Source organism: Homo sapiens, chromosome 9, assembly GCF_000001405.40.
Source record: "Homo sapiens chromosome 9, GRCh38.p14 Primary Assembly".
Classification (NCBI taxonomy): domain Eukaryota; kingdom Metazoa; phylum Chordata; class Mammalia; order Primates; family Hominidae; genus Homo; species Homo sapiens.
This window is the reverse complement of record NC_000009.12, coordinates 67,292,049-67,307,533: the sequence shown is the minus strand read 5'-3', so window position 1 is coordinate 67,307,533 and position 15,485 is coordinate 67,292,049. Positions and strand designations below refer to the sequence as shown.

Here is a 15,485-nt window from a genome sequence, read left to right as displayed (position 1 = left end):
CACTAATAAAATTATTTTCCATAAACTCTTCTCATTTTCTATCATATGTTATTTAAAGTGTTATCCAAAAAAAAAAAAAAAAAAAAAGAGAGAGAAGAAGAAGAAGCCTAACAAACGCGCCAAAGTTAAATCAGTATCTTTGCCAATTTTCTAACTGTAGAAGTTTGGAGCCTTAGGCCAGTGCTGGACCTGGCTGCTGGGTCATCCACACGCACCTGGAAGGGAACAGGAATACACTCACAGGAATACACTCTGCAGTGCACACGAGCTCCGCTTTCCGACAGTTCACTGAAGACATGCACCCGTCACATCATCACATCAGTCATCAAATTGAGACAACCATGCTGATGAAAAAGAACAATGATCTGTAGGATGGTTTTATGAAAGAGCCAGATTTGGAAGGCTAACGAAGGGTGCCTCAAGACAGTGTCTCTTAAGCTGAGATCAGAAGGAAGAGGAGGCTTTAATTAGTATAAAAGAGGTGAATGGAGCAGGGTAGGATAGAGAGTTTTAAAGAGAAAAGTCAGCAGAGCCACGTCCTTATGGTGAGAGGGAGCGGGGAACAAGGAAGACTTAAAACAAGGTACATAAAAGAACTAGAACAGGAGCACAGTCTTCTGTGTTCTTTGGCTTCATTGGCTAAGAATAGCTAAAGTGGTTACTCTGAGTTGGGGGATGTATAGATGCTCCTAATAGCCAAGAGTTTAATTGTACATTGGAAATCAGAAACTATAAAAAGATGTTGGCCGGGCGCAGTGGCTCACGCCTGTGGTCCCAGCACTTTGGGAGGCTGAGGCGGGTGGATAACGAGGTCAGGAGTTTGAGGCCAGCCTGGCCAATACAGATATCCCAGCTACTTGGGAGGCTGAGGCAGGAGAGTTGCTTGAACCTGGGAGGTGGAGATTGCAGTGAGCCAAGATCACGCCACTGCACTCCAGCCTGGGTGACAGAGCGAGACTCCATTTCAAAAAAAAAAGATGTTTATCTTCCTTACTCAGATACCATATAAAAAAGCTGGGATTTTGCTAAATTCAAAAAGAAATTACATACACCCTATATTACAAATACTAAAAACTAGTCATCAGCTAGCCATCTATTGTTGCAACATGTCTTTGAATAATATATGTGTTTTCATTATATTTCTAAATTAGGCAATTTGTTTTGTTATTTCAAATCACTGGGTTTCGTGTTTCAATTGCTTAACTAATCAACCCAGAAGATCCATTGTGGAGTCCATTTTTCACAGCAAATCTAAATTCTTTTTCCACACAACCATTCTTGTCCATCCTGATGCAATTCCTCTAGACATAATCACAGCGGAGAAGTGCAGAGCACACCCTGCCAAGGGGCATCTACTGAAGAGATACTGACAATGGCAATTTAAAGATACTTGTTATTTCCAAAGTTGAGAGAAAGAGCCTTGTAAAAATGTGTATCTCTTTGCTGTAAGGATGCTTATTTAGAATTAACTACAGTAGTTGTCTATTTATCCAGCATGTTGATTTCAAAGCCCAGTTCTTTTTATTGAACTACTTTGGAATTAAAAATTTTTATAATATTTACATATAGGATTAGGTTTCTAAGCCAATTCCATCTAACTGCTAGTAAATTTATTTTGTATATAGCACAAAGAATTGAATTCAATCCCAAATTCTCTCCAGCATACTAACCAAATTTAAATAAACATATGTGATGAGCTAGCAATGGTATTTCTGAATTTTCATATTTTTATTTTCCTTGGCTTACATTTTCCATATATCAAAGTCTCTTTTGAAAATTAAACTATATAATATAACCTCAATTTTAAAACATCAATGATAAGCTGGATTTAATCAACTCAGAACCCAGTGAGGAAAAACATGTTTTACTTGCTTTTATTTTTAATCAAACAGAAGTTGTATTTTGTTGTCATTGCAACATATCAGCGAATAAGCAATCTTGGAGAGCTAGGAGCAAGTTTAAATGTGTACATCTATGGGCAAAAGAACAGCTTAAACTACTGTGAGGCGGTCATTTTTCCTCCAGTGTTTCTTACGCCAGTGTGGAGGCAGCTGGAGACCTGGGAAAGATAGCAAAGACATCTTTCTTTCTTTTCTTTCTTTCTTTCTTTTCTTTCTTTCTTTCTTTTTTTGAGACGGAGTCTCGCTCTGTCGCCCAGGCTGGAGTGCAGTGGCGTGATCCTGGCTCACTGCAAGCTCCGCCTCCAGGGTTCACGCCATTCTCCTGCCTCAGCCTCCCGAGTAGCTGGGACTACAGGCGCCCATCACCCCGCCCGGCTAATTTTTTTTTTTTTTTTGTATTTTTAGTAGAGACGGGGTTTCACCATGTTAGCCAGGATGGTCTCGATCTCCTGACCTAGTGATCCGCTCGCCTCGGCCTCCCAAAGTGCTGGGATTACAGGTGTGACCCACCACGCCCGGCCGCAAAGACATTTTTCTTGTGACAGTTTTAAACTTGGTATATTTCAAAATAGCACAGATGTTTTTGAAACACTTGCAGTAGAAATAGTGATGTTGTATTGGTTAAAGAAAAAGGCCTATTTTTTTTTTTTTTTGAGACGGAGTCTCGCTCTGTCGCCCAGGCTGGACTGCAGTGGCGCGATCTCTGCTCACTGCAAGCTCCGCCTCCGGGGTTCACGCCATTCTCCTGCCTCAGCCTCCCGAGTAGCTGGGACTACAGGAGCCCGCCACCACGCCAGGCTGATTATTATTTTTTTTTTTTTTTTGTATTTTTAGTAGAGACAGTGTTTCACCGTGTTAGCCAGGATGGTCTCGATATCCTGACCTCGTGATCCACCTGCCTCGGCCTCCCAAAGTGGTGGGATTACAAGCTTGAGCCACCGCGCCCGGCCGAAAAAGGCCTATTTTATGTCTGTTATTTCCATCTTTATGTCCACGTGTATTCTTTGTTTAGGTCCCACTTGTAAGTGGGAACATGCAGTATTTAATTTTCTGAGTTACTTCACTTAGAATAATGGCTTTCAGCTCCATCCATGTTGCTGAAAAGGACATGATTTTATTCTTTTTATGGCTGCATAGTATTCCATAGTGTATATTTACCACAAGTTTTCTTTATCCAAGCAACACTTAGATTGATTCCATGACTTTGCTATTGTGAATAGTGCCGCAATAAACATACAAGTGTGGGCGTCTTTTTAATATAATGATTTCTTTTCCTTTGGGTAGATGCCCAGTAGTGGGACTGCTGGGTCGAATGGTAGTTCCATTTTTAGTTCTTAGAGAAATCTCCATACTGTTTTCCTTAGAGTTTTTACTAATTTATAGTTCCACCAACAGTGTATAAGAGTTCCTTTGTCTCCACATCCTTGTCAACATCTGTTGTTTATGACTTTTTAGTAATAGCCATCTTGACTAGTGTAATATGATATCTCATTTTGGTTTTGATTTGCATTTCTCCGATGATTCGTGATACTGAGCATTTTTTTAATAAAGAACTCAAACAACTCAGTAAGAAAAAAATCCCATTAAAAACTGGGCAAAGGACATGAACAGATGTTTCTCAAAAGAAGACATATAAGCATAAAATAAAAAGAAGACATATAAGACATAAAATGCTTAACATCACTAACCAATTTGGGTTTTGGTTAATTGGATTTAGTGAGGGTCTGAAGGTACAGGTAGACATGGAGAAATGTTGAATAATATCATTTAGTGCAAAAACTATTTGGAAAGAACATAAGAATTGATGAATTTTTTTGCAATAGATCTGTCTAAATTCCTTGGAAAATTACAAGTGGTGAAGATTAATACATGTGCTATTATTGTTGTTTTTCATTAACTGTTTGCTATGGAATCATTGAAGAAAGTGATAGACATGTTAGAATGACAGATTTCTTTAGAGTGGTATATACTCATATTTCTTTAGGGTGGGCAAATTAAAATCACTGATCTGATTGTGGCATATATAACTAAGGTCTTGCATCCTTTTGGACTGAAATATTCTCCTTCTAACTGAGAAGTATGTGAAGAGAGAAAGCATTCATTGCATATTCATCTGAGCAGCTTTCTAGAACTGATCCAGTCAGACTAGAAAAATTCTACCAAGCTCAAAAATCATCACACAAAAAACAACCACTTAGAGTCTCTGGAAACTGTCCTAACAGAAAATGTTTTTGAAATGGCATTATATTCTGTTGGACCTAATTAAATCCTTTTCTCTCTTCGCATAGTAAGGACCCATAGTCCCTCCCTGGTGACACTTCCTACTTCAGCTTTCTTTCCCTTGTTCTCAGTTTTAGGTGCACCCTACCTCAAGTTCTTACTGCTTCTGCTCGTGGGACTATAACAAACACTACTTCTTTTACCTCAGTAGGACATCACAGCCCATTGCTTCCATGCATCCCAGGAGCTGGGAGAGACTTGGGCCTCTTCTGTCTGCTATTTTTTTTTTAATACTGCTAATCTCAGGCTATGGTCTGAGAATCAAACAGCAAACATTTTTGCACTTCTATTTTCTAATAAACTATCTGGATTCCTCCTAAAAGTTGGAAGTGAGGTAGAGTTGACATCTAATTTCACAGCCATGTTGATACAAATGAAGCAAATCTTTACAATATTTCAATATGTATAATTCCAAGGCACAATGAGCAAGGTATAGAGTATGTCCCCTGTGTCTAGCTGTTTCTCCAGGCTTCTCCAGAATGATGGATGAAAATGTAATTGGCAAGTCAAATGTCTACTGTGGAAGCCTACAGGAAAAGGGATGTGAAATGCTTGACGTGATGAGGGATGCAGAGTGTTCAGCACTTATTTACTGAGCAGCTCATCACCTGATTGTATAGTATACAATATATGAGAATTTATAGAACAGTGAACGTATAAACACATAGAACAAATAAACATATACAACATATAAACACTGTTTTTAACATTTATTACATACATAGAACATATAAGAATTTATAGAACAATGAAAATACCACATTTTGACATTTGTATTGTACTGTGAAAGATTTATATGTATTTGTATAAAAAATAAATAAAGGTGATAATCTCTTGTGATTTCCCCAAAATACAGCATCCTTTTCATCTTTTTCCATTATGTAAATATGGTATGATAGAAATATAATATGCTGTGAAGTGATAGACATCATGACATATCAAAATGTATTATATATACACATATATATACATGTACATATTTATTGAAGTATAATTTATATACAAAATATACAAATTCCAAATATGAAATTCAGAGTTTTGACAAATGTCCACACCAATGTAACCATAGTCGATCAAGACATAGAACATTTCCATCACTCCAGAAACTTCCCTTGTGTTTCTCTGCAGTCAACTCCCATCCCACCTCAACCCAGGTAACTACTGATACAATTTCTACTGCTATATCTTAGTTTCGCTTGTTCTAGGACTTCAGAATGTACCCTATAGTGTCTAGATTTATTCATTCAACACAAGGTTTTTTAGATTCAGCCATGTTTGTTGCAGTTACCAGTAGTTTTGTCCATTTTATAGCTGAAGAGTATTTCATTATTAATACCACACAAATTGTTTGTCCATTTTCTTGTTGAAGGTCTTTTAGGCAGTTTACAGTTTGGGGATATTATAAGTAAAGATGCTATAAACGTTCTTGTGTAAGTCTTATAATGGGCATAAGTTTTCATTTCTTTTCAACCTAGGATTGGAATTGTTGGGTCATAGGTTTCATGTATGCTTAATTATATAAAACAATGTTAAACAATTTTTCCTAAGTGGTTGTAGCATTTTACATTCCAACAATAATGTATGAGAATTATAATTGCTCCATATTCTCAACAACACGTGGTACTGACAATATTTTTAATCATAACCATTTTAGTGGGAAGAATAACTCACTGTGGTTTTAATTTGCATTTCCTTAATGACAAAACGATATTGAACATTTTTGTGTGCTTTTTGTCCACTGGTGTAGCACTTTTCATCATTTTTTCTTATATTCATTATTTTCATTTTATTTTTGCTAATTATTGAGTTGTTAAGAGTTCTTTATGAACTATATTCTGAAAAAAATTTACAGCATTCAAATAAAGTGTTGCAAATATTTTCTCCCAGTCTGTAGCTTGACTCTTATTCTCTTAACAATGTATTTTAAAAGGAGAGTTGTTAATTTTAAGGTCAAATTTATCAGATTTTTATATTATATCTTGCTATTTGCTTTCTATTTGTCCCATTTGTTCTTTGTCCTCTTTCTCATCTTTTTTGTCTACTTTCAAGCATTTGAAAATTTATTCTATTTCATCGCTGCATTGTATATTATTGTGTAATATTGTAATATTATCACTGTTTTTGTTACTCTAGCATTTGCTTTAGGGATTACACCATACAGATGTTTTAACTTAAAGATAACTTGTAATAGCCAACTTTTAATAGGCATTATACAACTTTACACACAGTCTAAGAACCTTACAAACTATATTTCCATTTAGTCTCTCTAGGTTATTGTTGTCATATATTTTACTTTTACTCATGCTGCAGAACTCACATGACACTGCTATTATTTCTAAACAGCCAATTATCTTTAAAAGATATTTAAGTAATAAGGGCAGGTATTGTATATTTACTTATGGTGTTACTATTGCCAGTGCTCTTCATTTCTTTGTGTGGATCCATGTTTCTATCTGCACAAAGATATTATTCTTTATTTTCCTTCTTCCTGAAAGGCTTTTACACTGTTCTCATAGTCCAGGTTTGCTGATAATATATTACTTTTAACTTTTCTATGTCTGAAAAATATCTTTGTTTCATCCTTTCTTGAAAGACGGTTTTGCTGGGTATAGAAACCTAGGAGAGACAGTTTTCTGCTTTTGGTTGGAAGATGTTTCACTGGAAGCATGAAAGATGTTTCTCCACTGCCCTTCCCCTTGCATTGCTTCCAAAAAGAAGTCTGGTATCATCCTTGTTTTTCTTCTCTGTATAAGATTTGTCTTTTTCTCTTTACCACACTGAGTTTTGATCCATTTGCTTAGGATGTGTTGTGATATGGTTTTCTTAATAGCACCCCTACTTGGGGATGTTGAGCTGGGTCTGTGGGTTTATAGTTTGCATCAAATGTGGAAAATGCTTACCTATTAATTTTTAAAAATATTTTTTTCTATCCATCCACTCTCTTTTCTCCTTTGAGAACTCCAAATACACACAGATTAGGCAACTGAAGTTGTCCCACAGATCACCGATACTCTGATTATTCTTTGTTTTTTTTCTGTCTCTGTTTCATTTTGGATGCTTTCTACTGCTATATATATTCAAGTTTATTAATATTTTCTTCTGAAAACTCTCATCTGCCATTAATTACATCCATTGTATTTTTTAATCTCATACATTAACATTGTCATCTCTCGAAGTTTAATTTAAGCCTTTTCTTGTCACATCCTAATCTTTGAAAATACGGAATATAGTCATAATATTTTTCATTAGTAATTCTAACATCTGTGTATGTGCTGGGTCATTTTAGATTGATTTTTATCCTCATTATAGGTCCTATTTTTCTGCCTCTTCACACACTTGGTAATTTTTTATTGTATACCAGACATTGTGATTTTACCTCGTTGGGTGTTGGATTTTTTTTTGATGGAGTCTGGCTCTGTTGCCCAGGCTGGAGTGCAATGGCACAATCTCGGCCCACTGCAAACACCGCCTCCTGGGTTCACGCCATTCTCCTGCCCCAGCCTCCCGAGTAGCTGGGACTTCAGGCGCCCACCACCACGCCCGGCTAATTTTTGTATGTTTAGTAGAGATGGGGTTTCCACCTTGTTAGCAGGATGGTCTCCATCTCCCGACCTCGTGATCTGCCTGCCTCGACCTCCCAAAGTGCTGGGATTACAGGCATGAGCCACCGTGCCCGGCCTGGTGTTGGATAGTTTTATGTTACTGGAAATACATGTGAACTTTGCTCAGAGATGCCAATTAGTTATTGGAAACGGTTTGATCTTTTTTTCCAAATCTTTGAAAATTTGTTTAGTGGGGCCGCCATAGTAATACGTGGTCTAGGACTTGCCAGGACTGAGGCAAGACCCCTATGAATAGTCTACCTAATGCCCTATTAATTATGGGGATTTCTGGTATAGCCCATGGCAACCACCTCTATTCATGGTTGTATGTGAACATGCACTCTCAGTGAGAGTGATATTGTCCCCAAAATGACAGAAATTAGATTTTTTTGGGGGGATGGGAGAAGTGAAGAGAAGAAAAATATTCTTTTTGTGTAAAGCCCAGATATACATATAGTACTAAAGAGATATGCAGTGCATGTGCGATATTAAAATTTCAGGCCCGGCGCAGTGGCTTACGCCTGTGATACCAGCGCTTTAGGAGGCTGAGGTGGGCAGATCATGAGATCCAGAGATCGAGACCATCCTGGCTAACATGGTGAAACCTTGCCTCCACTAAAAATACAAAAAAAAAAAAAAAAAAAAATTAGCTGGGCGTGTTGGTTTGTGCCTGTAGTCCCAGCTACTCGGGAGGCTGAGGCAGGAGAATGGCATGAAACCTGGAGGCGGAGCTTGCAGTGAGCCAGGATCGCGCCACTGCACTCCAGCCTGAGCGACAGAGCAAGACTCCGTCTCTAAAATAAAATAAAATAAAATAAAATAAAATAAAATAAAATAAAATAAAAATTAAAAAATTCATAGAGAGGTGACTAGAAAAGATGTTTTAAAAGATTCCTTGAGGTCAATAATAATTTTTTAAAGGTTGATAAATGCCGCTGTAATTCTTTTGAGTGTTTCTTTCCCTTGCCTCAGGTAGTTTCATGCACTTTGTTACACACTGAAGGGCGACCCTCTCCAGATTTGCAAAGTTTTCTCCAATGCAGCTCTTTCCTCGCCGGTACTCTATCCTGCAATCTCTAGCCACCTTCGTGTACCTGAACTCTCAGCAACAGCTACTCCATTCAGAGACTTGCTAGGCTTCCTTAAGCTATCTATCTCCATTGTCACTGCTGTCTCAAATTCTGTCAAGTTGTAAGCTGGGATACTCACAGCAGACATCTTATGTTTCCTGTCTTTCAGGGATTACATTCCGTGCCTCATGTCCAGTGTACTGAAAACCATTGTTTCATATATTTTGTCTGGTTTGAGGTTGTTTCATGCAGGAGGGTTAGAGGGTAAATATGCTGCCTATTACTCCATCTTAGCCAGAAGTAAAATAAGAAAAAAAAATATATGTAAGTATAAACACACATACACATATATATATGTATGTATATAACACACATGAATCATATCCTAAAGATTTGGAACAAGAAGTAAATTTAGCTATCAATTATGTTTACTCACTGCAGATTAAGATGAACATTGTAGATTGGAGCATATTATGGGAGCAAGGCAACCTGTAGAATTGGTCAGGAACTAGACATCTCAGGACCTGCATTCTAACCCATTTTTGTCAGTAATTATCTGTGTAACGTTTTCTCAAAGCAGTGAAGGCCTTTGTGAATTTTGCAAAAATGGGGACAATTATATGTTTTACCTCATTGGCTTGCTTAAGGAGTTAAAATGTGATATGAGTCATACAAAGTGCTCATGCAGTCACAGAGGTTCTATTTTAAGGGCTTTCTTAAATTTTTAGGTACCATCACAAGCTAGCTAAGTTAGAAATTTTCATATCGCAAAATACAAAAGTTCATCTTATCATTTTAGACATTTTTATTCACAGAGCAAATGCAACCATGTGAACCTCACATTTTAAAATATATAACGGCACAATAAAATGCAAAAATATAATTTTAGGTCATAATCAACCTATAGGCAATAAACTATGTTATCATTTTGTAAAAAAAAATACCACAGGAAGTAGTGCTTCAGTACATTTTCCCGACGATATGATTAATCCATAATAAATTCTGCTACTACTCTTAGTAATGGCAACTTTATGTAACCTTCTTAAGGTTACATTTGCACTTAAGTATACCAACTTAAACCGTTAGTGGCTGTTCTGACAACACATCAGCAATGAACTTAGCCTGAGCTACATCCATTGGGAGTGATGTGAAGGAAGAGAAAAGCGTTGGACTCTATGATATTTAATGTCTTTACCAATAGAAAAGCTCTGTAATTCTTAGAATTCAATTTTTTAATTAAAAAATTGGTTCTCTCTTTACACATAATTGCCAAAACAGTGTTTACAAATACTTTCATCTTGCCCCAGATTGGCCAATGAGGTAGTAGGTTAAACAGCCAATTCATCATGTTTTGATTTAAAATGTGTCCATATCATTCTTCCCCAAATTCAAGTATATTTTAATAATCCATTTCTGTCACTTATATTATGGATTCAAGAATAAACTAAGCAAATGGATCATTTGTTTGCCTTCCAGTTATACATGAAGAAATTAATGTTTTATTAAAGAAAAAAGCCATCAAAATCAATTTTCCATCTGCACTCTTTTATTTGTTGCAATACTGTTTATAACAGCTAAGATTTGGAAACACCCTAAGTGTTCATCAACAGATGAATGAAGAAAATGTGGTTCACATACAAAATGGAGTACTCTTCAGCCATAAAAGAGAATGAGATCCTGTCACTTGCGACAGCATGGATGGAACTGGAGGTCATTATGTTAAGTGAAATAGGCCAGGCATAGAAAGACAAACATTGCCATGTTCTCATTTATTTGTGGGATCTAAAAACCAAAACAACGGAACTCATGGATATAGAGTAGAAGGATGGTTAGTAAAGGCTGAAAAAAGTAGTAGACAGCTGAGATAATGGTGGGGCAGAGGTGGGGATAGGTTAATGGGTACAAAAAAAGTAGAAAGAATGAGTAAAACTTACTATATGATAGCACAATAGGGTGACTATAGTCAATAAAAACTTAACTGCATATTTTAAAATACAGAGTGTAATCAGGTTGTTTGTAACACAAAGGATAAATGTTGAGGGGATGGATACCCCATTCTCCATGATGTGCTTATTTCACAGTGCATGCCTGTATCAAAACATTTCATGTACTCCATAAATATATGCACCTAGTATGTACACAAAAATTAAAAAATAAAAAAGATTTCCCATCAAATATTCTTTCAGAGAAGATGTGAACAAAGATCCAGAATTATTGATCAGTCTAGGCAAACAGAGTATCAAACAGCCTAATATGATTTTCTCCTCTGCTAAATAATACTGGGAAGGCAGGAAGGTGGGCTTCTCTATGGATTGAAGTTAAGAGAAAGAAGTGCCAGGAGTTCAGTCCACGCATGACAACTTACTAGTACTGCCTACTTGAAGAGATTAGCTCTTACAACCTTATCTTTGTCTCATCTATAAAACTGAGGGAGCAGGTTAAAAAAATCTTATATGTTAATACATGACTTATCCTACTCCATGTCTCTATTACAATGAAAGATCATACACAGTCTGGAAGAAAATGTTAAATTTACTGTGACTTTTCACAGTAATAGAGACAGAGTAACAGAGACACGGGGTAGAATATGTCACGTATCAGTACTAACTACTATCAAAGTATGTTAAGTTTATGCCGTAATAATGACTTTTAGGAAACAATGAAGATTTACAGTGACTTCCTAAGGTGAATTTGGACAAAAATATTGAGATAATACCACTCACCAGTGTCACTATTTTACAGAGATAAGCCTTCAATGTCACATGAACCACTCTATTTTTAATATTAGAATTCTGAAGTTTTTAAGCATCAGAATCTTCAGCTTTCTCAAATGAAGAATGGTAATTATATGCTATTTTCTTTTTTAATTTGAAGACAAAAGTTGGGAAATTATTATGCTTTTACTTTTATATTACAAAAGGGTGTTACTTGCAACTAGCATCTATATATCTAAATAACGTTTAGTGACTTAATTCTCTGCAACAGTAAAAAGTACTCAATTTAGATTTTAGTAAGTTGACTGTCAGATGGTTGCTCTCTGGCAGAAGTTTAAATATATATATTCATAGATATTTTTACATCTAGCAATCAGTAAATATTTATCTCTTTTTCTTGCACTTTGCATTTAATAATTTAAAAGGAAAAATTTAACAGATGATAAATATCAAACCAAAAAAGTCAACAAATCTTAATAATCTCAAAATATACAAGGGCAAAGTGATACATAAACCAATACAGAATACATTTGTCTGCACATTTTTGCATAAATTTTAAAAAGCATATAATTCTGTAATTTTAATTTTATAGAGCTTTCCCTAAAATATTTTTTATTTTATTTAAAAATGAGTTTATTTTCAAATAAGAAGATTAAGTCTAAAAATCAGTGCAAAAGATTGATGGTGATGATGTATCAATGCAATTTGATGCATCCGTTTCGCTGTCTTGCAAAAGGTGCAGTGACCAATGGGCTGTCTGTACTCTCAATACAGATGTAGTATTCTGAGAAGAGATCATTTGTTAAGAGCGGATTTAAGACAGAGAGTGTATTCATTCTTTCAAAAATAACACATATGAGAAGATGGAAATTCATTTACATAACAGTAACGCTGAATCAATATATTTTCAGCTTGCCCTGATGTGGAAGAAATATACCATCTCATTAGTCCTTGGTAGGCAGTTGGTATCTGGAATATGAAGAGCGTAGCATCATTGCTTTTATGTAATTGGTTTATTGAATCCAAATGGTGGTTCCATGCATTATCAAATAACCACTGCTTCAATATTAGTCCCTGGAACTGTCTCCATAAAGTTAATTCCAATCCTTTGCTGTCTTAGTGTGTATGTAAACCTTAATGAGACATGTTCCAGTTAACTGCACATATTCAATTTTGGGTAATCTATGGGAATTTGGCCCCATGGTCATAAACCTTTGATCAGACTGGCAGATTTAATAAACATCATGTAAATGTTAACTTAACTTGGAGTGAACAGCCTTCAGTTTACATTCCAAAAGTGATTAGATGAAAGGATAATACACAATGATATTTATGCCTAGAGCAGTTCAAAATTTAGAAAAGGAATTAGTGATCTTCAGTTAAGCTATTTTTTTTAATAAATTGAAAAGATGTTCTGTACAACATAATAGAGTCATAGGAAATCAAAAGCATATCAGTAACAACTTTTAGAAAAAGAAATGAATGATGAAAAACAGATATGACCTCTCAATATCTTGGGGAAGTAAGTTAGGATGATGTTTCATTCACGTCTTAATGATATAAATAAAGGATAACTCTGTGTAAGAAGTAGTGTTTGTATCTGGTGGTAAATTTAGTTAAAAACATAATCACAAGTTACAAAAACTGTAATTACAAATTACAAAGAAAAACAGGCAGACAATCTTGTATTGACATCCTCTTGCATCTTGTTACCTACCAATGTTCTGTTCCATTATAAAATTCAATACTAAAATTTCATAGCTAACATTCAATATTAATTTCAACATTAAAATGTATCAAAATCATTAAAAACAGTCAATTAGAAAAAGCAATACACCAAAAATAATGGTAGTGTTTCCAGGCTTCAACTGTGTTGTATTAACCATCACACAGGAGAATAAAAGGGCTGTGAATTTTAGATAGGCCACTTGGCTCTGGATTCCAGGACTATGGAAATGCCAGTGAAGGTAGTCCAAGAAGCATTTCTTGTTTTATAATATCAGCAGAGGACCAAAAAAAGGGATCCCAGATATGTTTTCAAGTAACAAAAAACATTAAAGTGCAATTTTGTCTTTTACATCTGAACAAAAGTTCTGTCATTTTTAAAAAATAAAGTAGGGCCACAGCTTTATAGTCATTTTCTCATCTAAAACCCCACAATTATTAACACAGATCAAACTGCAGTTTTGGAAGAGAGCCTTTGGACGGGGAAACTACTGAACAGTGATGAATGGCCATACCTAATTCATTGTTTGGAAATTGATGTGGAGGACTGTGTTTCACCGAGGGAGAAAGGGACCTCCCAGAGGCTCTGAGGCTGCAGATCTTCAGCCAGGTGACAGCACTGCACCTGCTGTGTGCACCCTGATGGCAACAGCAGGGAAGTCCACAGTCACGATGATAGAGACAGCCACAGCTGCCAATCAGAAGACTCACTCTTTCTGGTTTTCATGGACTGCGTTTTGCACATCGAGCTCACTGTTTAGAGCTGTCCTAGCACTCTTCTTTTTTTGAGACTTTTGACTCATTTTCTTTGCGTAACTTTCTCTGTTGATAGATGCGTATGGCTATGGCAGTGATGCAAAGCAAAATAAATATCTCCACTGCTATCACACCTAGGGAGAGAAAAGAATAAAACATCATAATTTTTTTTCTTTTTTCTTTTTAGAGAGAGGGTCTCACTCTGTCGCCCACGCTGGAGTGCAGTGGCATGATCACAGCTAACTGTAGCCTTGATCCTCCCAAGTAGCTGAGACTATAGGCCCACTCCACCGTTCAGCTTATTTTTTTTTTCTTTTTACAATTATTCTTTGTAGAGATGGGGTGTTGCTATGTTGCCCAGGCTGGTCTCGAACTCCTGGGCTAAAGTGATCCTCTCACCTTGGCCTCCCAAATTGTTGGGATTACAGGTGTGAGTTACCGTGCCTGGCCTCAATGTCAGAGTATAAATGGTGACTTTTGGTCCAATCAGAGGCTTTGCAGACATCATTGCTTTTTAAGTTTGGTTAAAATAAACCAACCACCTATTATATTATAAATTGAAAACACCAAAACTCAGAAATGCTGAGGTCAAGTAATTTTATAACATTTAACATACTTCTGACGGACTATGACTTTTGGATATGGCTGTGTTAGGCTTTTTCCCTACAGGTATATGATGATTGGGTTTTAGATAATGCTTTCAGATTTAAAAGAATAGAGACATACATGTCTCTAAGACCGCGTACATCCTTCAGTTAACAAGTGGGAAATTTTAAATCATTTTACAAGTATAGAGTGTTTGCATCATCATAGATCATTACATGTTATTGTTAGTACAATGAAATGGGTACATTTTAATGAAATTGTTTTCAAATACTTTTATGATAATACACTTTTCTTTTTTTTCTGAGACGGAGTCTTGCTCTGTCGCCCAGTCTGGAGTGCAGTGGTGCGATCTCGGCTCACTGCAAGCTCCGCCTCCCAGGTTCACGCCATTCTCCTGCCTCAGGCTCCTGAGTAGCTGGGACTACAGGCGCGCGCCACAGCGCCCGGCTAACTTTTTGCATTTTTAGTAGAGACGGGGTTTCACCGTGTTAGCTAGGATGGTCTCGATCTCCTGACCTCATGATCCGTCCGCCTCGGCCTCCCAAAGTGCTGGGATTACAGGCGTGAGCCAACGCGCCCGGCCGATAATATACTTTTCAAACGCAGTAGGGTCGCATATATGTAATCAATCCCTATTACCAAAAATATTGCAGGCATATTTATTCATTTTTTTTTTACCTGGAATGTGGATTATTTGAAAGACCTGGGCAAAATGTTTTAAAATATTGAAACCATTAGCAGTGTCCATGATTCTCGACTCTAGCTGCACACTAAGTCAGTAAATCAGAATAAATGAATGGAAGGCCTGGATACCAGTATCTTTATAAATTG

The 15,485-nt window shown here is 36.4% G+C and overlaps 1 pseudogene across 1 annotated transcript in view; it reads right to left on the bottom strand.

Annotated features, from left to right (window-relative positions):
* Window positions 1-10,377: 10,377 nt before the first annotated feature.
* CNTNAP3P2 (CNTNAP3 pseudogene 2) overlaps window positions 10,378-15,485 on the bottom strand; it is a 237,697-nt pseudogene continuing 232,589 nt past the window's right edge. The window contains exon 24 of the transcript NR_111893.2: window positions 10,378-14,182. The product of NR_111893.2 is annotated as a CNTNAP3 pseudogene 2 (transcript). The remainder of the gene's footprint in view (window positions 14,183-15,485) is intronic.